The sequence below is a fragment of the Homo sapiens genome, chromosome 16 (assembly GCF_000001405.40).
Source record: "Homo sapiens chromosome 16, GRCh38.p14 Primary Assembly".
Lineage (NCBI taxonomy): Eukaryota > Metazoa > Chordata > Mammalia > Primates > Hominidae > Homo > Homo sapiens.
In genome coordinates, this window is record NC_000016.10 from 73,302,351 (window position 1) to 73,323,385 (window position 21,035).

At 44.4% G+C, this 21,035-nt stretch overlaps 1 protein-coding gene across 1 annotated transcript in view, besides 1 other annotated feature; it reads right to left on the reverse strand.

Moving 5' to 3' along the window:
- The window catches only part of ZFHX3 (zinc finger homeobox 3), a 1,109,046-nt gene that overhangs the window by 519,466 nt on the left and 568,545 nt on the right, over positions 1-21,035 (reverse strand). The window contains exon 4 of the mRNA NM_001386735.1: positions 15,890-15,986. The gene's annotated coding sequence lies outside the window, so the exon portion shown is untranslated. The remainder of the gene's footprint in view (positions 1-15,889; positions 15,987-21,035) is intronic.
- Positions 4,865-4,914: an enhancer, noted in NCBI's record as "active region_11105". NCBI's record gives its function as "activates an Ori minimal core promoter by ATAC-STARR-seq in GM12878 lymphoblastoid cells {active_cell/tissue: GM12878}" and the evidence as "EXISTENCE:reporter gene assay evidence [ECO:0000049][PMID:35858748]".

Genomic DNA, 21,035 nt, shown 5'->3' on the forward strand with positions numbered 1-21,035 from the left:
AACTTCTCTCAAGAGCAGCCTATTGAGACTGGCTCTCAAATTGCCCCCAGAGCCCACTGGATATTCCTTCAGATGTCTAACAAGCGTTGAACACAACTGAGGTTTAGAGAGACACAGAAATCAATACTGCGGCTTCCACCAGTCACGCTGAGGGATTAGTTGTCCCAAGGAAAAGCACAGACAGTTGAATAAGAGAATCATGACTCCGAATACCCTAACAGGTTTATGAACTAGAGAGCAGCCTCTGGCCTTGATAACCTCCAGTTGGCCTGGAGAAAAAGGAGGCTGTGAAAACATTCACTTAGCTTTCTCCCCTTTTGTATTAATGAGGTCAAGCGTGGGACCTCAGGGAGTCAACAGTGGTACTTGGAGGAATGACTGTCAAGGCCGGTGGGTGACGATGACCATCTGAGCAGTGGCATTCAGAGGCTCTGAGCATCCTCCTTGCTGTGGAGAAGTCAGTGGCCACATCCCTCAGGACAGAGCTTGCAGGGAGGCTAGAACTGAGGGCAAAATAGAAAAACAGCAATGCCTTGGACTATTTGCTTTGAGCAGGTGGCATTAAACTGTGGCAGGTGTTTACATTTTTAAAATCATGGATGGGAGAGATCAACAGAGTATGCAAATGATTAGGGGACTCTCTAAATGGGCAGGATTCTGAAACAGCAAAGAGCAATGGAGACTTTTTTTTTTTTTGAGACAGGATCTTGCTCTGTTGCCCAGCCTGGAGTACAGTGATGTGATCATAGTGCACTGTCGCCTTAAACTCCTGGGCTCAAGTGATCCTCCCACCTCGGCCTCCCTAGTAGCTAGGACTACAGGCACACACCACCATGCCTGGTGAAGTTTTAAATTTTATTAGGGATGGGGTCTTGCTGTGTTGCCCAGGCTGGTCTTGAACTCCTAGCTCCAAGCAATTCTCCCATCTCAGCCTCCCAAAGAGTTGGAATTACAGGTATGAGCCATTATGTTGGGCCGAGCAATGGAAAAATGTTAACAGCTTCTCCACTTTGATGAGAATATAATGAGAGAAGGCTCATTTCAATGTATAAAAATTCTCATGCTCCTACTTCCTATGATTCACATTCCGGAGGCTGATCTTACAATTGACATGGACATTCCAAACACCTCACACAAATAAGACACCTGGTTGGAGACTCATTTAAAAACAGATGGAGCCAACGGCCTCAATGATGTCAGTCTCAACAAAAAGAGAAAAAGTCACTTTATAACTGGATCTCTGGGTTTGAGTGAAGAATTAAAGCTATTATCTGTATAAGTCAAACCAAAAACCTACCTTCCTATGAATTTATAGGACAATTTAGGTCCTAGCTGAATAATTCAGAAAAAGATAATCACCTCAATTATTTAGATGGCCATCTCATTCCCTTATATACTCCATCTCTCTAACCTGGATGTGGAAAGTCGACAGCAATTAAGTCTCTTAACCAAGCCACCAACAGGAGGCCACCGATTTGGACTACAAATGTGGCACCCTCGAAACAGGATCAGTGGAAACCGACCAGGATTAAGAAACTGATTTGGAAGACATTGGCTCTGAATCACTAAGTGATGCTCACCCAATCTGATGGAGGTTCAAAAACCCTAGGTGGAAAAAAAAAAAAAAAAAAAAAAAAAAAGAAATGTAGGAAAGTCATCTCTCTGTGTTGTGTATCCTCAGGTTACCTGCTCTACCCTTGGTCCTGCATAGATGTCACTGATTCTGGAAGAGAGGAATTCAGTGCCCTTCTCTGGCAGCCTCCCACCAGTCTCAGCCTCACGGAGCTTGCAGAAGAGCCTCATTTCTGGTCTGTGTCCAGGTTCAGGGTGTGAGTCGGAATTTGTGCCTCCAAGGCTGGTTAGCCAGCAGCATGAGAAATGATGTCATGTAAATAGGGCAGATGAAGAGCTGGGAGACCCCTGATGAAGTTCACAGGGGTCATGGGAAAAGAGCCCTTCCTCTGGGTGACTTTGGAACAATAGTGAGGTCAAACTGGCTGGCGGGGCTTTGCCATGCTGTTTCTATCTGGGTGGAGACATACGCACCTTGAGGTCCCCGCGTGCCTCTGTGTGTTTGTGTGCACGTGATCTTATGCGCAGAGAGGCAGGGTTGTCTGCTGTGTCCAGGCTGGTGGATTCAGCTTTCCTTTGTGCAAGTATTAATCTGCCCGGTCCCATCCCCCACTCTCTCCCCGCACATTAGCCTAAAATATGAGCGCATGCTCCCGTCTCGCCTGTGTTGGCTGCTCTAGTGCCCACAGCATCCCTGCCCCCTTCCTCCAGCCCTCTTATCTAAAGCAGCATGTCACTGCAATTTTATGGCCAACATTACAGACTCAAGCCCTCCTTTGAACCAATCAAACTGCACTAAATATGTTAAGGGAATCCAGGCGTTCTGTAAGGAGCCTGCTTCCTGAGCCCACCGCCTGACCTCTCTAAGAGCAGCCTCCATAAATCTGCCTCACCTGATGGGAGATGGGCTTTTTAGGATCTCTCAGGGTGCTTTGAGGTAGCACTTCTATGAACTCCTTGCCACAATAAATAATGCTACCTGCAATATGTCTTTGGGAGCATGTCAGTAGCTGCTGTCCTGCTATGAATTTTTATTCTTGTGCCGTCTGGAAGATAGATTCCAGATTCAGCATTTCCCTGCACTTACTGTCAGATCTCTTTACCCCCTTGCCCCAGCAGAATGACAGAGACCACAAATAAAATAAAATAAAAAATTAAAAAAAAAAGCAGCCTAGGAAAAATGGCCCAAGATCGGAGAGAAAGAGCCAAGCTCACCTCACAGCAGCGGCATGAGCTGCCAACATGAGGCGGGGTGGCCAGGTGGGAGGAAGGTGGGTGTAAGCTGGGCAATTTCAGAGTCCTCAGGACGGAAGCAATTCACCAGGGGAGCCTGGAGGAAGGGGTCTCTTACTAGGTAATGGTGTCAGATAAGAAGAAAGCCCAAGTTTGGGTCAATACATCATTATGAAGGAGAGCAACAGAAATCTGTTCACAAACATCAGTTAGGTGGTCATTGCCCTGGTAAGATACCGGGCAATCAGTCCATGCAAAGAGGACGGTGGATTCAGAAATAGCCCAGAGATGACTTCCAAAGTGAGATGTTATGGTCAGAAAGATGAGGAAGAAAGACACCCCTGCAGCTTAGGAATAACAATCAGTTGCTTCCCAGATTTCACTAACTCACATGTCTTTGCTGATCCAGAAGCGAGCGCTCACATGGCCGTGTGCATTTTCCTAGTTATCAGCCCTGCAACTTCAGACCAATCAGCAGACCTGAAGCCAAAACTCACCGATGCCCAGGAATTTCTGCTTCCTTGTAGTGCCCCAAGTTCCTGGGAGTTTCTGCATTTCTAACTTGCCAGCTATATCCATTACGGTGGGCGAGGTGCCCAGGAAAGGAAGAAAGAAAAGCTGGCTTTGATATGTTAACATCTCATGATGGTAGAATATTTTATGTTATAGGCCACTTCCTCTTTGGAGAGGGTACAGTTCAGCATCCTGGCAGGAAAAGCACATAGGCCTAGCTTCTCTGTGCATGGAGAGCCACACAGTCACAGACTACAACTTTGGCAGACTTTTAAATGAAAGTTTTGCCAACTGTGAAACAGACAGGAATTACCTGGGGATCTTCAAATGCGGATTCTGGCTCAGTGGAACCCGCAAGTCTGCATTTCTTACAAAATCTCAGGTGACGCTGACGCGACCTGTGGACCACACATTAAGGAATGAGGTTTTAGGTTCTACCAAGTTTCTACTGCGTACCTACTGTTCTACTGCGTACCTACTGTTCTCCTGCCCTAGAGTGTATATGTGGCTCCAAACCCAAGAGAACCCAGTCTGTTTCTGTTCTCAAATAGTTTGTTCTTTGTTCTTCATATCTTAAAAAAATCAATATAGATCAAAACAGAGTTTTAAAAATTGTGGTGATTTGAATATCTGCATTTAACACATGAATACTTGTTTTTTGTTTGTTTTGAGACAGAGTCTTGCTGTGTCGCCTAGGCTGGAGTGCAGTGGTGCCATCTCGGCTCACTGTAACATCCAGCTCCCAGGTTCAAGCAATTCTCCTGCCTCAGCCTCCCATGTACCTGGGATTACAGGTGCCCGCCACCACACTCAGCTGATTTTTGTATTTTTTTTGGTAGAGATATGGTTTCACCATGTTGGCCAGGCTGGTCTCAAACTTCTGACCTCAAATGATCCACCTGCCTTGGCCTCCGAAAGTGCTGGGATTGGAGGCGTGAGCCACTGCATCTGGCCCGCATGAATATTTTTCATGCCTCCAAATGGAATATGCCATCTCACTTGGAGATGATGACAAGAATCCATATTTGAGGTTCTCTGTGAGTGTAAGATCAAGGCCAATTTACCTCTGGGCCCAGCAGTGACAGGCTGCTAGACCCTCCCACAGGGAATCAGATGGTTTATGCAGAATGTTGGCTTCATGCGGTGGCCAATGTTCTACCCACAGCCAATGCTACGTTATCATTTCTAGCCTCCTGGGGCAGTGTGATCAATTTCCCAGCTTAGACATTACTGAGAGAAGGGTATAGAGTTAGGTGAAGGCTAAATGAAAACCTTCACTGATCAAGTTACCAATGGTGGGCTGGTAAGTGGGACCAGTTCATTTCCTACACAACAAGAACAGCAAGACCACAAAACTGACAACATAAAATGGAGGTGATAAGATCACTGACAAATGCCTTTTTGGATGATAAAGTCTCTTATGGTTAAGATGATCTTTGGAGTAAGAAGTGCAGAAGCTTTTCATACATCCCAACATGTTTAAATACAGTAGCTGAGGAGATAGCAGCCCCTGTCCATCAAGTCATCTGAGGCCAACCATCGTACACATGATCACTCATTTGTAAACTGGGCTTCCTGCCTGCTGAATACCTTTGAAAAACAGAAGTTCTCTCCTAATTGCCTGGGCTGACCTATATTTAGAAAACTGAAATGTGCTGGTACAGTGGAGAAGCCAGAAAAATGTTGGAGTTAATCACTAAATCAATCTGGGCTGACCCCATGAGGATAGTGAGCACTGAAGGTTGTTGGCCAAGGAGCTTTTGGAGGCTGGACTTAAAAGAACTCTCTTGTTTCTCTGAAACGGGAAAAACTGCTTCTTTCTGCAAAAACATATTCTAGGATAGTCCTTCAAAACAGTCACGCCAGTAGCCAAGTCAAGGTTAACTTCATTTTGTTCTGGTGTACACAGGTAGGTACCACAGCTGGAGAAACAAGAGAAATAGGCTCATTCTCAAGAGGAACCCAGCGAGGAGATCTTTCTTTTCTTCCCTTCTCACCCTTGGCCAACTTTCCTTCTCTTATATCTGTTTGGTTTCTTACTATCCTGGGTTGTTAAAATTCACAGTTGAAATTTTCCTTAAAATTTTATACCCACGAGGTGATGATAATTTCCTAAAGTTCAGAGTTTGAAAAATTGGGGGAAGGCACAAGAAGTATTCGGCATTATTTTCAGATTAAATGAACTGTGGGATGACATTTGGAAATGGGCACCAGGTACCTTGAAGATGAGCAATTGCCTTTACAGGAACACTGAACAGAAAGTTCAGGAAGCTCCTTAATTCTGTAGGACCAGCACTCACCCCCAAATTTGCCAGCTCCCGTGATTTCTGCAACCTATGCTAAATGATGGCTTGGGTTTGAAGGCTAAAGGATATAAACAGCCAAAGAGGGGGAAAAGGCACTTAGAACTAGAGAGAGTTACCGATCATTTGATTTCTGTAGAAAATACTTGTCGGAGAGATAAGTAATAAAAAATCTAGCACATATTTTGAGATTTAGGTTTGGCTGTCTACCTAGTTAAAAGTTTAGATTGAGTTATCTGAGCCATATGCATGCATATATATATATATATATATATATATATATATATATATATATATATATATATATTTATTTATTTATTTTTGAGACAGAGTTTCACTCTTGTCACCCAGGCTGGAGTGCAATGGCGCAATCTCTGCTCACTGCCACTTCCACCTCCTGGGTTCTCCGCTCAATGCCACCTCCGCCTCCTGCCTCAGTCTCCCTAGTAGCTGCGATTACAGGCACTCACCACCATGCCTGGCTAATTTTTGTAATTTTAGTAGAGAAGGGGTTTCACCATGTTTTCCAGGGTGGTCTCGAACTCCTGACCAGGTGGGAGTTCACCAGATGGTGATCCACCCACCTTGGCCTCCCAAAGTGGTGAGATTACAGGTGTGAGCCACCACGCCCAGCCTATTTTTTAATTCTCGCATTGAATTTTGTAGTGCTAAGCTAGGAAATGAGGAACTTGATTAAGTAGTGTTACAATGGAACAACTTATGCATTTATCGTCAACAATTTATTGAGTGTTTTCAGAACCATTTTTGAGAAGACATATGAGTATTAGACTTTTTTTTTCCTGCAGGAAGTTTACATTCTTAATTGTTGAGATGGGACTAAGTTACTAAAACATATTATATATATTATATTAAAATATATCTTAAAAATATATAGATATGTAAGTTAAGTACAAAATTATATGACATGATATGATAGGGACTACACAATCAAGCTAAGAATTTGGAGAAGCAGAATTACCAATGAGGAAGTTAGATCCCATGACAGGCTTCCTCCTGGTAGGGTTTATATAGAAAACAAGAAAGGGTGTTCCAAGATTGTGGAACACAGATGGGAAGCTATGAAGTTTACTATTTTTTATTATGATTTTTTAATCTTTTATTTTAGGTCCAGGGCTACATGTGCAGGTTTGTTATATGGTAAACTTGTGTCATGGGGATCTGTTTTATGGACTATTTTGTCATCTGAGTACTAAGCCTAGTACCCCATAGTTGTTTTTTTGGATCCTCTCCCTTCTCCCACCCTCCACTCTCAGGTAGCCCCAGTGTCTCTCGTTCCCCTCCTTGTGTCCATGTGTTCTCATCATTTAGCTCCCACTTACAAGTGAGAACATGTGATATTTCGTTTTCTGTTTCTGTGTTAGTTTTCTAAGGATGATGGCCTCTAGCTCCATTGATGTTCCTGCAAAGGCCATAATCTCATTCTTTTTTATGGCTGTGTTGTATCCCATGCTGTATATGAACCACAATTTCTTTATGGAGTTTAATGTGCACTCCTGCAAGGAAACTAGTCCACAGCAGTGGAAGGAACCCATGAGGGGGTTGTGGGAAATGAAATTTGATGATGTGGGAAGCGACAGATGAGAGTGGGGTTTGCCCTTGATTAGCAGTAAAGGAAGATACTGAAAGTTACTTTTAAGCAGAGGAGTATTATAATGGGAACATGTTTTGACAAACTGGGGCAGGGTCTCAGAGCCTCAGGCATGTACTCTCAGGAACTTAGAGAAGAGAGAGTTAAGCCCTTTGAATTTGATCCAGCAGGACAATAATGCTTAACAGAGGAACAAGATAATTCTGAGTATAGCCTCAGTATCCTCAAGTAGTCTGAGACCTGTGAGGACAAAAATAGCAGTTTAGTTAAAATTCTGTAAAACTTTAGGAGGCATAAACATGCTTTGGGACTCGTTTTTTCTTGCCTTTTTTTTTTTTTTTTTTTTGAGATGGAGTCTCACTCTGTAACCCAGGATGGAGTGCAATGGAGCAATCTCCGCTCACTGCAACCTCCACCTCCCAGGTTCAAGCGATTCTCCTGCCTCAGCCTCCTGAGTAGCTGGGATTACAGGTGCCCACCACCACGCCTGGCTCATTTTTGTATTTTTAGTAGAGACAGGGTTTCACCATATTGGCCACACTGGTCTCGAACACCTGACCTTGTGATCTGCCCGCCTTGGACTCCCAAAGTGCTGGGATTACAGGTGTGAGCCACTGCACCCGGTCTGCTTTGGGACTCTTTCTAACAGAGACAATGGCAAAACCATCTGAGGTGGTGGTGGTGGTGGTGGTGAAATGGGAGCATTCCACCCTGGCAGGAAAGCTAGTTTTATTATTGACATTATTAGCACAGGATGATAAGAAAAAGTGACCAATTTTTAGCTGGTTTATGATTGTTGTAAAACTCTCCACTGACAATGCATTCCTTTGCTGTCTGCACTCGGGGTCACTGCTCTTGCTCTCTCCTTTCCTGCATATGCAACTGAAGAGACAAAGACCAGTAGCTCTCCATGGGGGCAATTTTACCCCCAGGGAAATTTAGTAATGTCCAGAGACATTTTTTTGTTGTCACAACTGGGGTGGCAGCAGTGCTGCTGACATCTAATAGGTAGAGGCAAAATATGCTATAGTACATAGGACCATCCTCACAACAACGAATTATCCAGTCCAAAATGTCAATAGTACTGAGGCTCAGAAACTGATATACACCAAGGTGCTCAATGAAGCATTATTTATAACAGCAAAATTCTGGAAATAATCCTCATTTCTAACAATAAAAGAATCGTTAAAAATTATTGATTATCATATGTCCACAGGATGTACTTTGCAGTCATGTTTTCAATTATAACTTGATATAGGCTCACCCTGTAATATTAAATGAAAAAAAAAAGAATCAAAGCTGTGTATACATGCAATCCCAATTTTGTAACAACAAATGCATCACACACATGTCATAAACACAAACACCCCAGCCAGGTGCAGTGGCTCACGCCTGTAATCCCAGCACCTTGCGAGGCCGAGGCAGGCGGATCACCTGAGGTCTGGAGTTTGAGTCCAGCCAGGCCAACATGGTGAGACCCTGTCTTTACTAAAAATACAAAAATTAGCCGGGCATGGTGGCAGGCGCCTGTAATCCCAGCTACTTGGGAGGCTGAGGCAAGAGAATTGTTTGAACCTGGGAGGCAGAGGTTGCAGAGAGCCAAGATCGCACCACTGCAATCCAGACTGGGGGACAAGAGAGAGACTTCGTCTCCCTCCACAAAAAAAAACAAAAAACAAAAATACACAAACAAACACCCCAAGACAGAGGACTGTTAATAAGTAACCAAAATGGATGGATGCAGTGGCTCACACCTGTAATCCCAGCACCTTGGGAGGCCGAGGCAGGCAGATCACCTGAGGTCAGAAGTTCGAGACCAGCCTGGCCAACATGGTGAAACCTTGTCTCTACTAAAAATACAAAAATTAGCCAGGTGGCAGACGCTTGTAATCCCAGCTGCTGGGGAAGCTGAGGCACGAGAATCATTTAAACCTGTGAGACAGAGGTTGCAGTGAGCTGAGATTATGCCACAGCACTCCAGCCTGGGCGACAGAGACATACTCCATCTCAAAAAAAAAAAAAAAAAAAAAAAGAAGTCACCAAAAGGCCAACAATGGTTATCTCTTGATTCGTAGATAAAAATGTTTGTTCTCTTCTTTGAACTTTTCTATATTTCTGAAATACGATAAGCATGAATTAATTTTCTGATCAAATATAATTTTTTTCCAAAACACCTCAGTGATTTGAAACATAGGCCAAACTTAACAAGACGAAATATAATTGGACCGTGCAACATTTACATATAGGTTCAAAGCATCAATTGTCAAAGGCAGGAGTAAGATGCTTTTGCTTATGACCCATTTATGTAAAAAGGGTGTGAGTCAATGGAAGCTCAAAATCAAACAGAAGAGAACTGATGAGGTTGCTGAAAGAGTGATCTAAACTTAGGACACCTTAACAAAATTTTGCACCAGGATGACGCATGCAGCAGTCCTCTGTGGGGCACTTATCTGGACTGCTGAATGCAGTGGTGTGTGACGTATTTTAAGGGGGCTGTTGAAAACCTGGAGTAGGTCCAGATGACAGCAACCAAAATAAGGAGCTTGAAATTGTGACACGTGACAAAAGGATGAAGGAAGTAGTAAGGAGCTTGAAATTGTGTCACGTGACAAAAGGATGAAGGAGGTTGGGATGTTTAGTCTGACGACAAGAACACTTAGGAGAGGTGTGAGAGCTATCTTTAAATATTTGGAGGGCTGTCATAAGGAGAGGGACATATGTGCTGTGCATGGGCCCAGACCACAGAGCTGGCACTAATCACTGATGAGAACTGATCACTTATCTTCTTTCACATAACTTCCAAACACAAAGAAAAAAAAAAACTCTTCTAAATCTTAGAGTTGTCCAAAAATAGAGTGGCTAACTTGGGAAGTCATCCAGTCCCGATCACTGACTTAATGATAGTGTGTCAAGGTTGTTGCCGAGAGGACAGTGGGCTGGGAAAATGAGAGAGCAGCGATGCTACTCATACATTCCTGGTGCCTATTGCTCAATGCATGAGCAAATGCAGAGGGGTCAACATTCATTGAGGGCTTTCAGTGGGCCATGGACCAGGAATGGTGCCAAATGCTTCACACGCTCTGTCCAACTTGTTCCTCATAGCCACCTTGCAAGAAAGGCACAACTCTACATTTGCCTCGTTTTCCAGATGAGGAAATACAGGCTCAGGGAAGTTTAGGGGCATGCTCAAGGTCAACAGCTAGTTAATGTATCAGATTCTACAGCAATGCCAATAATAGTAATAGTAATCATCATAACTGTAGTTGCAAACATTTGTATAATGCGTACTATGCATCAGAGTTCAAAATGCTATGCCTCTATCCTCATTTTACAGATAAGTTTTGGGTAGGTCAAGAATCTTGTCCAAGGCCAAAAATGGGTCAGTGATATGGTTTGGCTCTGTGTCCAAACCCAAACCTCATGTTGAATTGTCATCCCCATGTGTCAGGGGACGGGCCTGGTGGGAGGTGACTGGATCATGGGGGCAGATTTCCCCCTTGCTGTTCTCATGATAGCGAGTTGTCCCGAGATCTGATGGTTTAAAAGTGTGTGGCACCTCCCCCTTTTCTCGCTCTCTCTCCTGCTCCGCCATATTAAGACATGCTTGCTTTCCCTTCACCTTCCACCATGACTGTAAGTTTCCTGAGGCCTCCTAACCATGCTTCCTGTGTAGCCTGTGGAACTATGAGTCAATTAAACCTTTTTTTCCTTATAAATTACTTAGTCTTGGGTAGTTCTTTATAGCAGTATGAGAACAGACGAATACAGCCAGATTCTGTAGTAATGCTAAAAGAGTAATAGTCATCATCATCACAACCACAGCTGTAAACGCTCGTATAGTATGTACTACGTGTCAAAAAACACAGTTTGGAATGCTGCACCTATACAACTTATTTACCATAACACCCTAAGGGATGTCTCTCTTATTGTCCCTATTTCATAGATGAGAAAATGTAGACTCGAGGAGGTTGAAGATCTTGCTCAAGGTCACACAGCTAATGAGCGATACACCTGGGTTTTAAAACCTGGCACTTCAGACTCCATAGCGGTATTAGTAACAATAGAACTAGGAATCCTCATCATCACTGTCATTTTCCCAGTCATAAAAATGGCACAAACATGTACACAGCCCACACTATGTGTCAGGCAAACACAGCAGACCTAGGAGGTAGTATGATGCTTAATTTTATGTGTCAGCTTGGAGAGTGGTTTTGGATGAGATTAACATGTAAATTGGTAAACTTCAGTCAGCCACGGTAGCTCACACCTGTAATCCCAACACTTTGGGAGGCTGTGGCCGGTGGATCTCTTGAACTCAGGAGTTCGAGACCAGCTTGGGTAACGTGGGGAAACCCCATTTCTACAAAAATTAGCTGGTCATGGTGGCACACACCTGTAGTCCCAGCTCCTTGAGAGGCTGAGGTGGGAGGATGGCTTGAGCTCAGGAGGTGGAGGTTGCAGTGAGCCAAGATTATACCACTGCACTCCAGCCTGGGCAACAGAGAGAGACCCTGTCTCAAAAGAAAAAAAATCTGGTGAGCTTTGAGTAAGCAGTTGTCCTCTTTAAGAGGTGGGTCTCATCTAATCAGTGGAAGGCCTGAATAGAATAGAAAGATAGGCCTCCCTGAGCAAGAGGAAATTTTTTAGCAGGTTGTCTTTGGACTTCGTCTGCACTATCAGCACTCCTGAGTCTTGAGCCTGCTGGCCAACCCTGCAAATTTTGGACTTCCCAGCCTCTATACTCACTCCTTGTGAACCAGTTCCTTACGATAATTCTCCTTTTCTGCCTGTACCTTTCCTATTGGTTCTGTTTTTCTGCAGAACCCTAAAATAGGTAGGTACAACTATTATCCTCATTTTAATGAGAGACCCAGAGACATTCAAGAACTGGGTCAAAGTCACATGACTAATAAATGGCAGAGCCGGGATGGAAACTCCAACCACTGGGCTCTGTAGTCCGTGCTCCTACATGGCATTCTCTGGAGCTCCTTCCTCTCAACTGCTGTGTGTGTTATGATCTAGGTGACATGAAATGAGGGGATGAAAAAGGTAAACTCTCAAGGCAGGAAAGTTGCTGTTCACAGAGAAAGAATGACATCCCTGAGCTGCTCCTCCTACCAAATGGCCACTTACTCATTCTTCCAGATAGCCCTTGCCACATTAGGACATTTCTTAATATTTGACAGATTGAAGGGTAAAAGACCCAACAACTTTTCTTCCTCCTGGTATTGTTCAATTCAACAGAGAAAGAATTTACTGAGCACCTTCCACTTTCCCATAAGTTAGAGGCAACTGTCTTGTCTCCTGACTCTTGATTCTCATTAGATAATTTGTGATTTGAATACAGAATATGTAAAATAATTCAGGCTGGGCGTGATGGCTCACGCCTGTAATTCCAGCACTTTGGGAGGCTGAGGCAGGCGGATCACCTAAGGTCAGGAGTTTGATACCAGACTGGCCAACGTAGTGAAACCCTGTCTCTACTAAAAATACAAAAATTAGTTGGATGTGGTGGGGTGCACCTACAATCCCAGCTAGTCAGGGGGCTGAGGCAGGAGAAGCGCTTGAACCTGGGAGTTGCAGTGAGCACCACTGCACTCCAGCCTGGGTGACAAGAGTGAAAACTCCATCTCAAAAAGAAAAAAAAAAAAAAGAAAAAAGAGCATTTAATATAGTTCAAGTGACATATAATGATACAATGCCTCCTCAGCTTCCCCTATGTGGTGGAAATGCACAAGTACTCACGTTGTTGCCTTTTCAAAGTTTTGAAGCCTTGCCCTGATATCAGCAATTTCTATAGTAAAGTTTCTACCTTTTAGTTTACTATACCTCTCGCTGATAGGAAAATCGCTCTTGATATTCTCAGTTTAATTTCACTTTTGCCAGATTTCCATTAATACCGGTATCTCTTTGGACCATCCAAAGCCATCCTCCTCTGGAGGCTTATCTTTCACATAATTTCCAAACAAAAAGACAACACAGACAAAAGCTGCACAAAAACATGCCATGGGACCAGGTATTGAAAAAAAAAGACATTGAAACAGACCCAAACAGAAATACAATGGTTTTATTATATGAGCCTTCAGCGGTAAAGAAGAAAGGAAAAAGCAAGGTTAGCAAAAGAGGAAAGGAAAGCAAAATGACTAGCAAACGCAAAGTGCCTAAGGAGATGGTGTTTTCTTTGTATGCATCAACATACACTCAAAGAATATTTCCCTATAAGGGTGTCATTGCCCACTCACTTCCCGTTTTCAGTTATGTGTAAGAGAAGCTTTTAACTCTATTTTCAGCCCCCCTGGGAGTTGCAAGGAAGAAGGTGTTGCTACTAAAGTAGGCAATGCTCAGCCTGAAAGTCAAGGATACACAAGACGCATACCCATCAGCCTCCTCGTCCTGCCTGGACCAGCCCTCCCTGACCTCTTAGTGGGGGTTGGAAACCGCTGGCCCGCACTGGCCAGACCATGGGGAGAGGCTCTCAGAGGACAGTGTCTCCTTTGTTGGATGTTTTATCACAAAGAAGGTGATACCACAGGAAAAATAAATCCGGAAGCTTCTAGTCTAACCCAAACCTCAGGTGTTCTAGCAAAGACAGCAGGAGAAAAATCCCCATTGCATATCTCTATCTTGCAGTATAACCCTGAGGTCAGTGAAGGTCATTGAGGAAAACCAACCTGAATGTAGAGAAAAAGCAGGGTCTCTGGCAATACAATTTAAAGGTGACAGGACACGAGGCTTTGTTTCCAGGCACAGGCTGCCTCCCTTTCTTGCAGTGGCAGCCCCTCCAGACCTGCCCCTTTATGTCCACCCCACCCTCACCCCCAACACTCTTGACTGTCCACAGGTCATCACCTATGCTGGGCCTTCCCCGTTGCTCTCAACTCACAATGGACTGTTCCTTCTCTGACCTCGGATGATTTAAGTCATCTCTACCATTCAACCTAATACCTAGTAGATACTCTTTGATATTCTTTTCCAACGGTTTCATGTACACAGGTCTTTTCTACCAAATAATATTCCATGTGCCTTGAAAGAAAGGATCTCGTCTTATACTTGTTGGGAATCCCCCACTCCACTAGATCTAGTACTTTGGTGACCTCAGCAAATTCTTGCGATAAAATGCTTGATTTTTATCACCTCCCTACCTATACTTCCAAACGGTTGCTATACTTAGGCCTTCACATTCACGCTGCACTCCTGACCAGTGAATGCAAACACACAAGGCATCATTTTGCAGAAAAATCCGGATATGGTGGAGAAAGAAATTGTCATTTCTCAAGATTCTTGATTTGTTTCTTGAGCTAAGGGGAGGGAAATGCTTGCCAGTGTTTCCTGGCTGATTTTGGTATCATGCTGTTGGCCCTTTTGTGAGATGTGTAAAGACATTTTACTCAATCTGTGAGAAACTTTGATACAGACAGAGGAACTTGGAGACTAGCCAGGCCTCTTTTTAATAAACACAGGAGACGTGAGATGGGCAGGTCTAGGGTGATGGGAAGAGGTGATACTGAATTTCATTTCTTAGCTATATACAAGGGAATAAGATTATTCTTAAGAGGGGGGTGGGTGGTGGTGAAAACAATACCCACCATGATACTGATGGGCAGGTCTGGTTGTATAACTACTGCTGAGGTTCAGGAAGCTCCCAAGATGAGACTTCCATGTTCCAGGGCCGCTTTCCCTTTAAACAGAAGCCGGGGGGTGGGGTGGGGGTGGCGGTGGTGGTGGTTATGGTATTGTTCTGGCTTCAGTATTAATCTTGCTTTCTTCCCACTTGCACCTGCTAATGTTACCCGGCAGAGTCACAGCCATCGCTGGGCCCTTCCCCCACTCTAAGTTTATTTATTGTGGCTATTTTACCAGCTATTGGCTCAACACACTATACTCAAATATTCATCATGTAGCTCTCTGGGTAAATCGTATTTAATCAGCACAGGAGAGAAAATAGCATAATTATAGATGCCGGATGCCATTACACTCAGAAGAAATTAAACCCTGTCTCAAGCCGACCAGCGGTTGCTGTGATTGCATCACTGCTGGGGTTATGGAGAGGTTAGTGGCCATTGGGGGCCAGCAGTACCTCGTAAGGATGCCTGACCCAGATGAGCCCTAAGGAGACCCACTCATGCACATACACATGCGCGGCATCAAATACTCATCAAACGGCGGCCAGTAAATTAATCTTTCATTGTTTGGAGAATGTGATAAATGAGAGGGATAATAAAGCCAGGTTCACGCATGGAGATGAAGGGATGGCAAATAAATGGGCCCAGAGAATTCCAGTCCTAAAAGTGGATAGAGGGAATTCCCATTCCCAATCTTTCCCAGAGCATTTCTTGCCAATAGCCAGAGTGATACTGACAATTAAGGCAAAGGAGGGTGACAACCTTTACAATGAAGCAAAAGCATCCATTTGGGTTATGAGTCCTTACAGGGAATCCTCCCAGCTACAGAGGATAAGAATGCAAATGCCAAACCAGAAGTGCACATTAGTCCTGGTCCTTGCCAGGTAGACTTGAGTGTCTCACATGCAAAAGTTTCCATGTCAGTAATGCCAGTGAGTTGTTTTGCTCGGGGAAATGGAGAAGGTGAAAAGTTGCAAAAACAAAACAAAACAAAATAAAACCCCAAACCCAACCATAATATAATATCAGAGCCCTACCTGCTGAAATGGGCTCCTGGAAAAAGCTGGAACCATGGGGTCAATTTTCTTCCAGCCATTCTCGGCCCGACCTCTTCCCACACACATCCAGGGCCACCTGCACGTGTCCAGGTACAGAATTAGAGTCACCTTTAATCTCACGACACAGCTTCTCTCCCCTGGACCTAAACCCCAGGTCAGCAACCCCATACAGTGTAGAGCACTGTTTGTAAAAATTCAAAAATGTCCAAAGATGCAATTAGGCTTTACTTATTACTATTGGGTGACTGTTTTTGCTTTTTTTTTTCTTTATTCCTTTTTCTTCTGGCTAATAATGCTTCTGAGGTTTGGATAAGTAACTAAGAGGAAGGAGATCTCCTTCTAGTCCATCCTGCTGCCGACAATTAAGAAACCTCAAAGTAATTTTTGAAAATGTCAGCGTCTCATTTAGCAAAAGGATAAATAATAAATGAAGCGTAATCACTGTCCTGTGCTGGTGGTACAGCTTCGCGGTGTCATTAGTAAACTAACGGTATAATATCTTTGTGTCACAGTTTAATTATATCTTGTAATTAGTTTCAGCAATGGATTGCATAGAGTCAGGCCCCCTGAGCTAAACAAAAGGTAATAGAACTTTTCAGCGCCCCTGCATAAATCAATTATGAAAGTGTCCTATGCTATTTGAAGCTTGTTTGCTGTAATTTTATGCACAAAGCCCAACTGGCCCTTCTTGCTTGTGGAGGGCTATTCACCCCACCCCACACTTGTCTGCAGCTGAGCCTGCGGTCGGCCCACACGCAGCCTGGCCCACTGGTGCATTTCTCAGGACCAGCTCAGCAGTAAATACCATGGAGGGGGTGAGGTGCTGAGGGGAGGGGAGGGGAGGTGTGGAATGGGGGGGGCAGAGGACGCACAAGGACCGGAGCAGGTAATAGATGCGCCATGTGCAAGAAAGCAGGGAATCAAATAGGAAAAGATGTGAGGGCTTGGAAGAATGATTCTTTATGCTTCCCTGAACAAAGATGAGAAGGTTAGGAGCATCAAAGGCCAAGCAACGTTGATGAATATGGGCAGGCAGACGAGATACATGTCCCTTTATCATTTTATCCTTTCAACATCCCCACTCTCGCCACGTGGTTGGAATTGGAACCAGCACAGGTTACTTGGCAATAGGGGATAGGGAAGGAGAATCCACATCTTTAATTGGGTCTAATTCGGGTCCCACAGAGCTCAGAAACTGTAAAGGGCTTCCGAGCGTTGTTGAGGGCTAGCTGTGGTCACCAGGCCCAGACAGGAGAGTCATGGAGTCCCGCTGGGGGAAGCTAAGAAGAAACTCAGGGGCGGGGGGTTGGTTAAGTCCAAATGCCACCAATACGTGTGATCATCTCTTTTTGATCAAACTGTAAGGCATGGCAGAGAGTGGGGGTGGGGTCCACATTCAAAGTCCTCATCAAGTTGGCTTTGAAAGTAAGTCTAGTGCCACACTGGCCTTTCTGTTTATACAACAATTTATAGGTTTAAACGAAACCCCGCTTGAAAAAGCAGACTGAATCTTCCTATTGTGAGCACTTCAGCAAATTTAACAAAAGAAAGAGCCCAGGCGAAGAAGAAGAGAGAGGAGAGAGACAGAGAGAAAGGTCCAGTCCTCAGACTGGTGTGCTGCAATCTGGCTGGTTGCTATGGCGACGTGATGGTTTGTTCACATGGCAACATACCTTAGGTCCACTATTAAAATGATGAGAGTGAACTCGGTTGCATTAAGGAAAGTGTGCTGTATGCTAAAGCGAGTCTTTATCTCCAGAGAGAGCTGGACAGAGACTGGCATCCAGTACAAATGAGGGAGAAAAGGAGGAGGAGGTAAAGGTTGGAGGTCTGGAAGAGGGAAGAACCGCAGGGATGCAATCACTATGAAAAGAAAGACCCTCAGTTCTGTGTCTCAGTCGAGGGCCTGGGATTCAGAAGGTAGACAATGAGTTTTGTTTGACATGGAATTCATCGTTCAAATCAGCCCATCAGACTAATGACCCCTTATTTAAAAAACAAAACAAAACATATTCCAGATGAACCTGCTGTACCTTGGCTGTAGAAAACACAACAGTGAACAAAACTCAACCCATGAGCTGTGGCTATAACCAATAGCCAAGCACGAATGCCACTTAAATAAAATACTCTAATAACCGCGAGGGTGGCAAATTACACGGCATTTATTTATCGAACATAAAAGTCCATTGACAGCTACAGATCCACATCATCTCACATTTGAGCTAGTGGGGAAGATTTCCTTTGGAAATCGGGTTTCCTGTTTCCTTTAACATAGTGACAATTTTTCCTCCTACTGATGTCGAAAGGGTGGTGATATTTCAGTGGGTATTATTCCAACAGCCCTACCTATCTACCTGTGCTTGGTTTCTTTCTGCTATTTAGCAAGCACTGCTGTGGCACACATGAGACAGCCAGAAGTCTCTGGGCTCTGTCATCCCATTGAAGGCTCCCAGTGGTACTATAAACCATCTGTGGGATGTCTGAGGCCCCGAAATCCCCACACCCCTCACTCGTTTGGCCCCCTTCCCACCTCTCTATGGCTGACTGTGCTTTATTTGAAAATCTCTTTACCATAAAGTGAAGTGAAGCCTTCACACCGGCAAATGTCTCTTGAATTGGACACATGGCAGAAGATGAGCTTGGGACTGTGATAGTTTCTGACGACAGAGATCCTACCAGCACAGGGCTCAGTTCTAACCATGAGCCACTGACTCAGTTCCTTCTTTGTGCCAATGCTGCAGATGTCTGGTGCCAACAGAGGGATCTGACCCCCAGGAGATCCTGTCATGGCAGAAAAGGGGGAAGGCACAGTGCTCTAAGACCTGCAGAAGGAGCTGAATACTAGGACAGAGAGCAAAGCCAACCACACTCATAAATTGCCTCCTCCACTCTCATCCCCACATTTCTCCTGAGTCTTACGTGATAGAACATTGCTCTCTAAAATTTTCTAGGGTCCTATGATACGCTCTGGCTTCCTCAGGAGTCCATGTAAGCAGTACAGGGAAGCAGGATAGCTCAGGAGGCGAGATCCTAAACTTTGCATTAGAGACCTGCTGTCACTAGCTAGCCTGGTGACCTCTCTGAGCCCCAGTTTTCTGACCTGAAAAATGGGGTCACAGCAGTACCTGACCTCCTCAGGTTGTTGGGAGATTTAAATGAGGTAACAGTTATAAAGGGACATAACTCAGTCCAGGGCATGTACATTTTATGAATTATTATTATTCCCTTTGGACCCAGCCAGTTGCAGCATACAGCATTGTTTCCATTGCAACTTTAGCAACAGACAAAAACGTGACTTTCAGATGATAAGCTCCCGAACAACAGGTCAACGGCTATTCACCTATTTTGGAAGGGTCCAGAATAGGATGCAGCTTGGACATATTTATTCCAGAACCTTCTTCTCTACATGCTGCAGGCCACCAGAGAGAGGCAGGCCTGGCCTGCAGCTCAACTTGCCTTCTTCTGCTAGATGTCTTTCCTTTTGTTTTATATTTTGACTACTGACAAAACACCAGCTTTGTCCCTCTCCCCCAAAGGGTAGGCGGGTGTCTCTTCCTAAGCATGGTAAATTGTATGTAGAGAAAAAGACAGAGAGAGAGAGAGAGATTGAGAGAGAAAGAGGGAAACCTTCTGGTGCCTATCAACTTTCCATGACAGCTGCACTCATGTTCCCTCCTGAGGACCAAAATAACTACAAAGTGTATGAAATCGTTAAGCACATAAAAATCCCGGAGGTAGACGCTGAGAATAAAACTCGTGATTTCCCAACCAAAAGGCATCAAAGCCCAGCCCTCACAGTTCATTTGCTTCCCTCCGTCGATCTGACTTTGCTCAGTAAGCTGGCAACAGTAGCCCTACACACAGCTCGGAGAGCAGAGGGAGGAAGGCTGGGCCCCTGACCTGCCTGGTCCACCAGCCTGGTCTGCATAATGAAGGCATGGGGGCGTGGGGGAGCCCAGAGGCAGATGAAATCAGCCAGAAAGCACTGAAAAGAGAGAACGCATTTGAATCTTCATGGCTTTTTTTTTTTTGCAGCTTATGATATACTTTTCACACGTTTAATGGCGAGGCAGCTAGGTTTAAAGAAACTTTCCCATTTAAATGTGCCATAACAGAATAATAAGGTTATGCAGGATGTCTTGATGTATGGTCCCATCAGGTAGAATGGTGATGGAAATACGCTGTGATATTGAATCTGAATAGGACACCTAGAGAAGAATGTTTAGCTTCGGGTGTTGCAGTACAAATGCAGGAATAGCAAACATAGGAATAGCCCTTATCTTGTAGGCAGAATTGCTCTCGGTTTCCAATCTTCCCCAATAGCCCTTGGCTTGGGAAGTGTTTTTGTAGGGAGCACAGCAAACAGAAAACACTGAACTCCAAATGTGTGGTGAGAGCTATGCTGGGTGATCTAACTAGGAAGCATCCAAAGACATAGACCATTATAAGGTCTGTCTCCACATTTGACCATTCCCTATTTACTGAACGCCCACTAATGTGTATAAAATCTCTTCAAGTGCATTTCAAAGTGCTAAGAAGTATAAAAAAGAGTTTCTACTTTCAAGGAGTTTATAATTTAGTTGGAAAATAAAATGGTCTAGCTGACGGTCAGCAAACTGCAGCCTGGATAGGCCCAAACTAGTCTGCCACTTGTTTTGTGTAATTAAGTCCTATTGGAATACAGTTTCAATGTGTTCAAAGACACATTGTTTACATATTGTCTATGGATGCTTTTTCCTTACAACGTTGGGGATGAAGAGCTGCAGCGGAGACCCTGTGGCCTGTTTAAAATATTTACTCTCTGGCCTTTTACCAAAAGAGTTTGCCAAGAACAAGAGTTGCTCTAGGTTGGGAAGGAGAGCGATCATCATGGCTGGGGGTGGGGAATCATGAAAGGATAATGGAAAGGATGGCCTTTCAGGAGGGCCTGGTGGGACCTGGACAGACCCAGCAGAGTTAAGAAGGCATCCTTGGTAGGGGAAACAGTACAGGAAAAGGTGCAAAGGAAAGAGGCAGCATGACTGTTTGAGGGATGGCAAGAATAACCATCCAGCTAGGACAGCCTGTTACATTCCAAAGCAGTTGGCAGGAAGGATGGTCTGATAAGTGGGAGGAAAACCAAGAA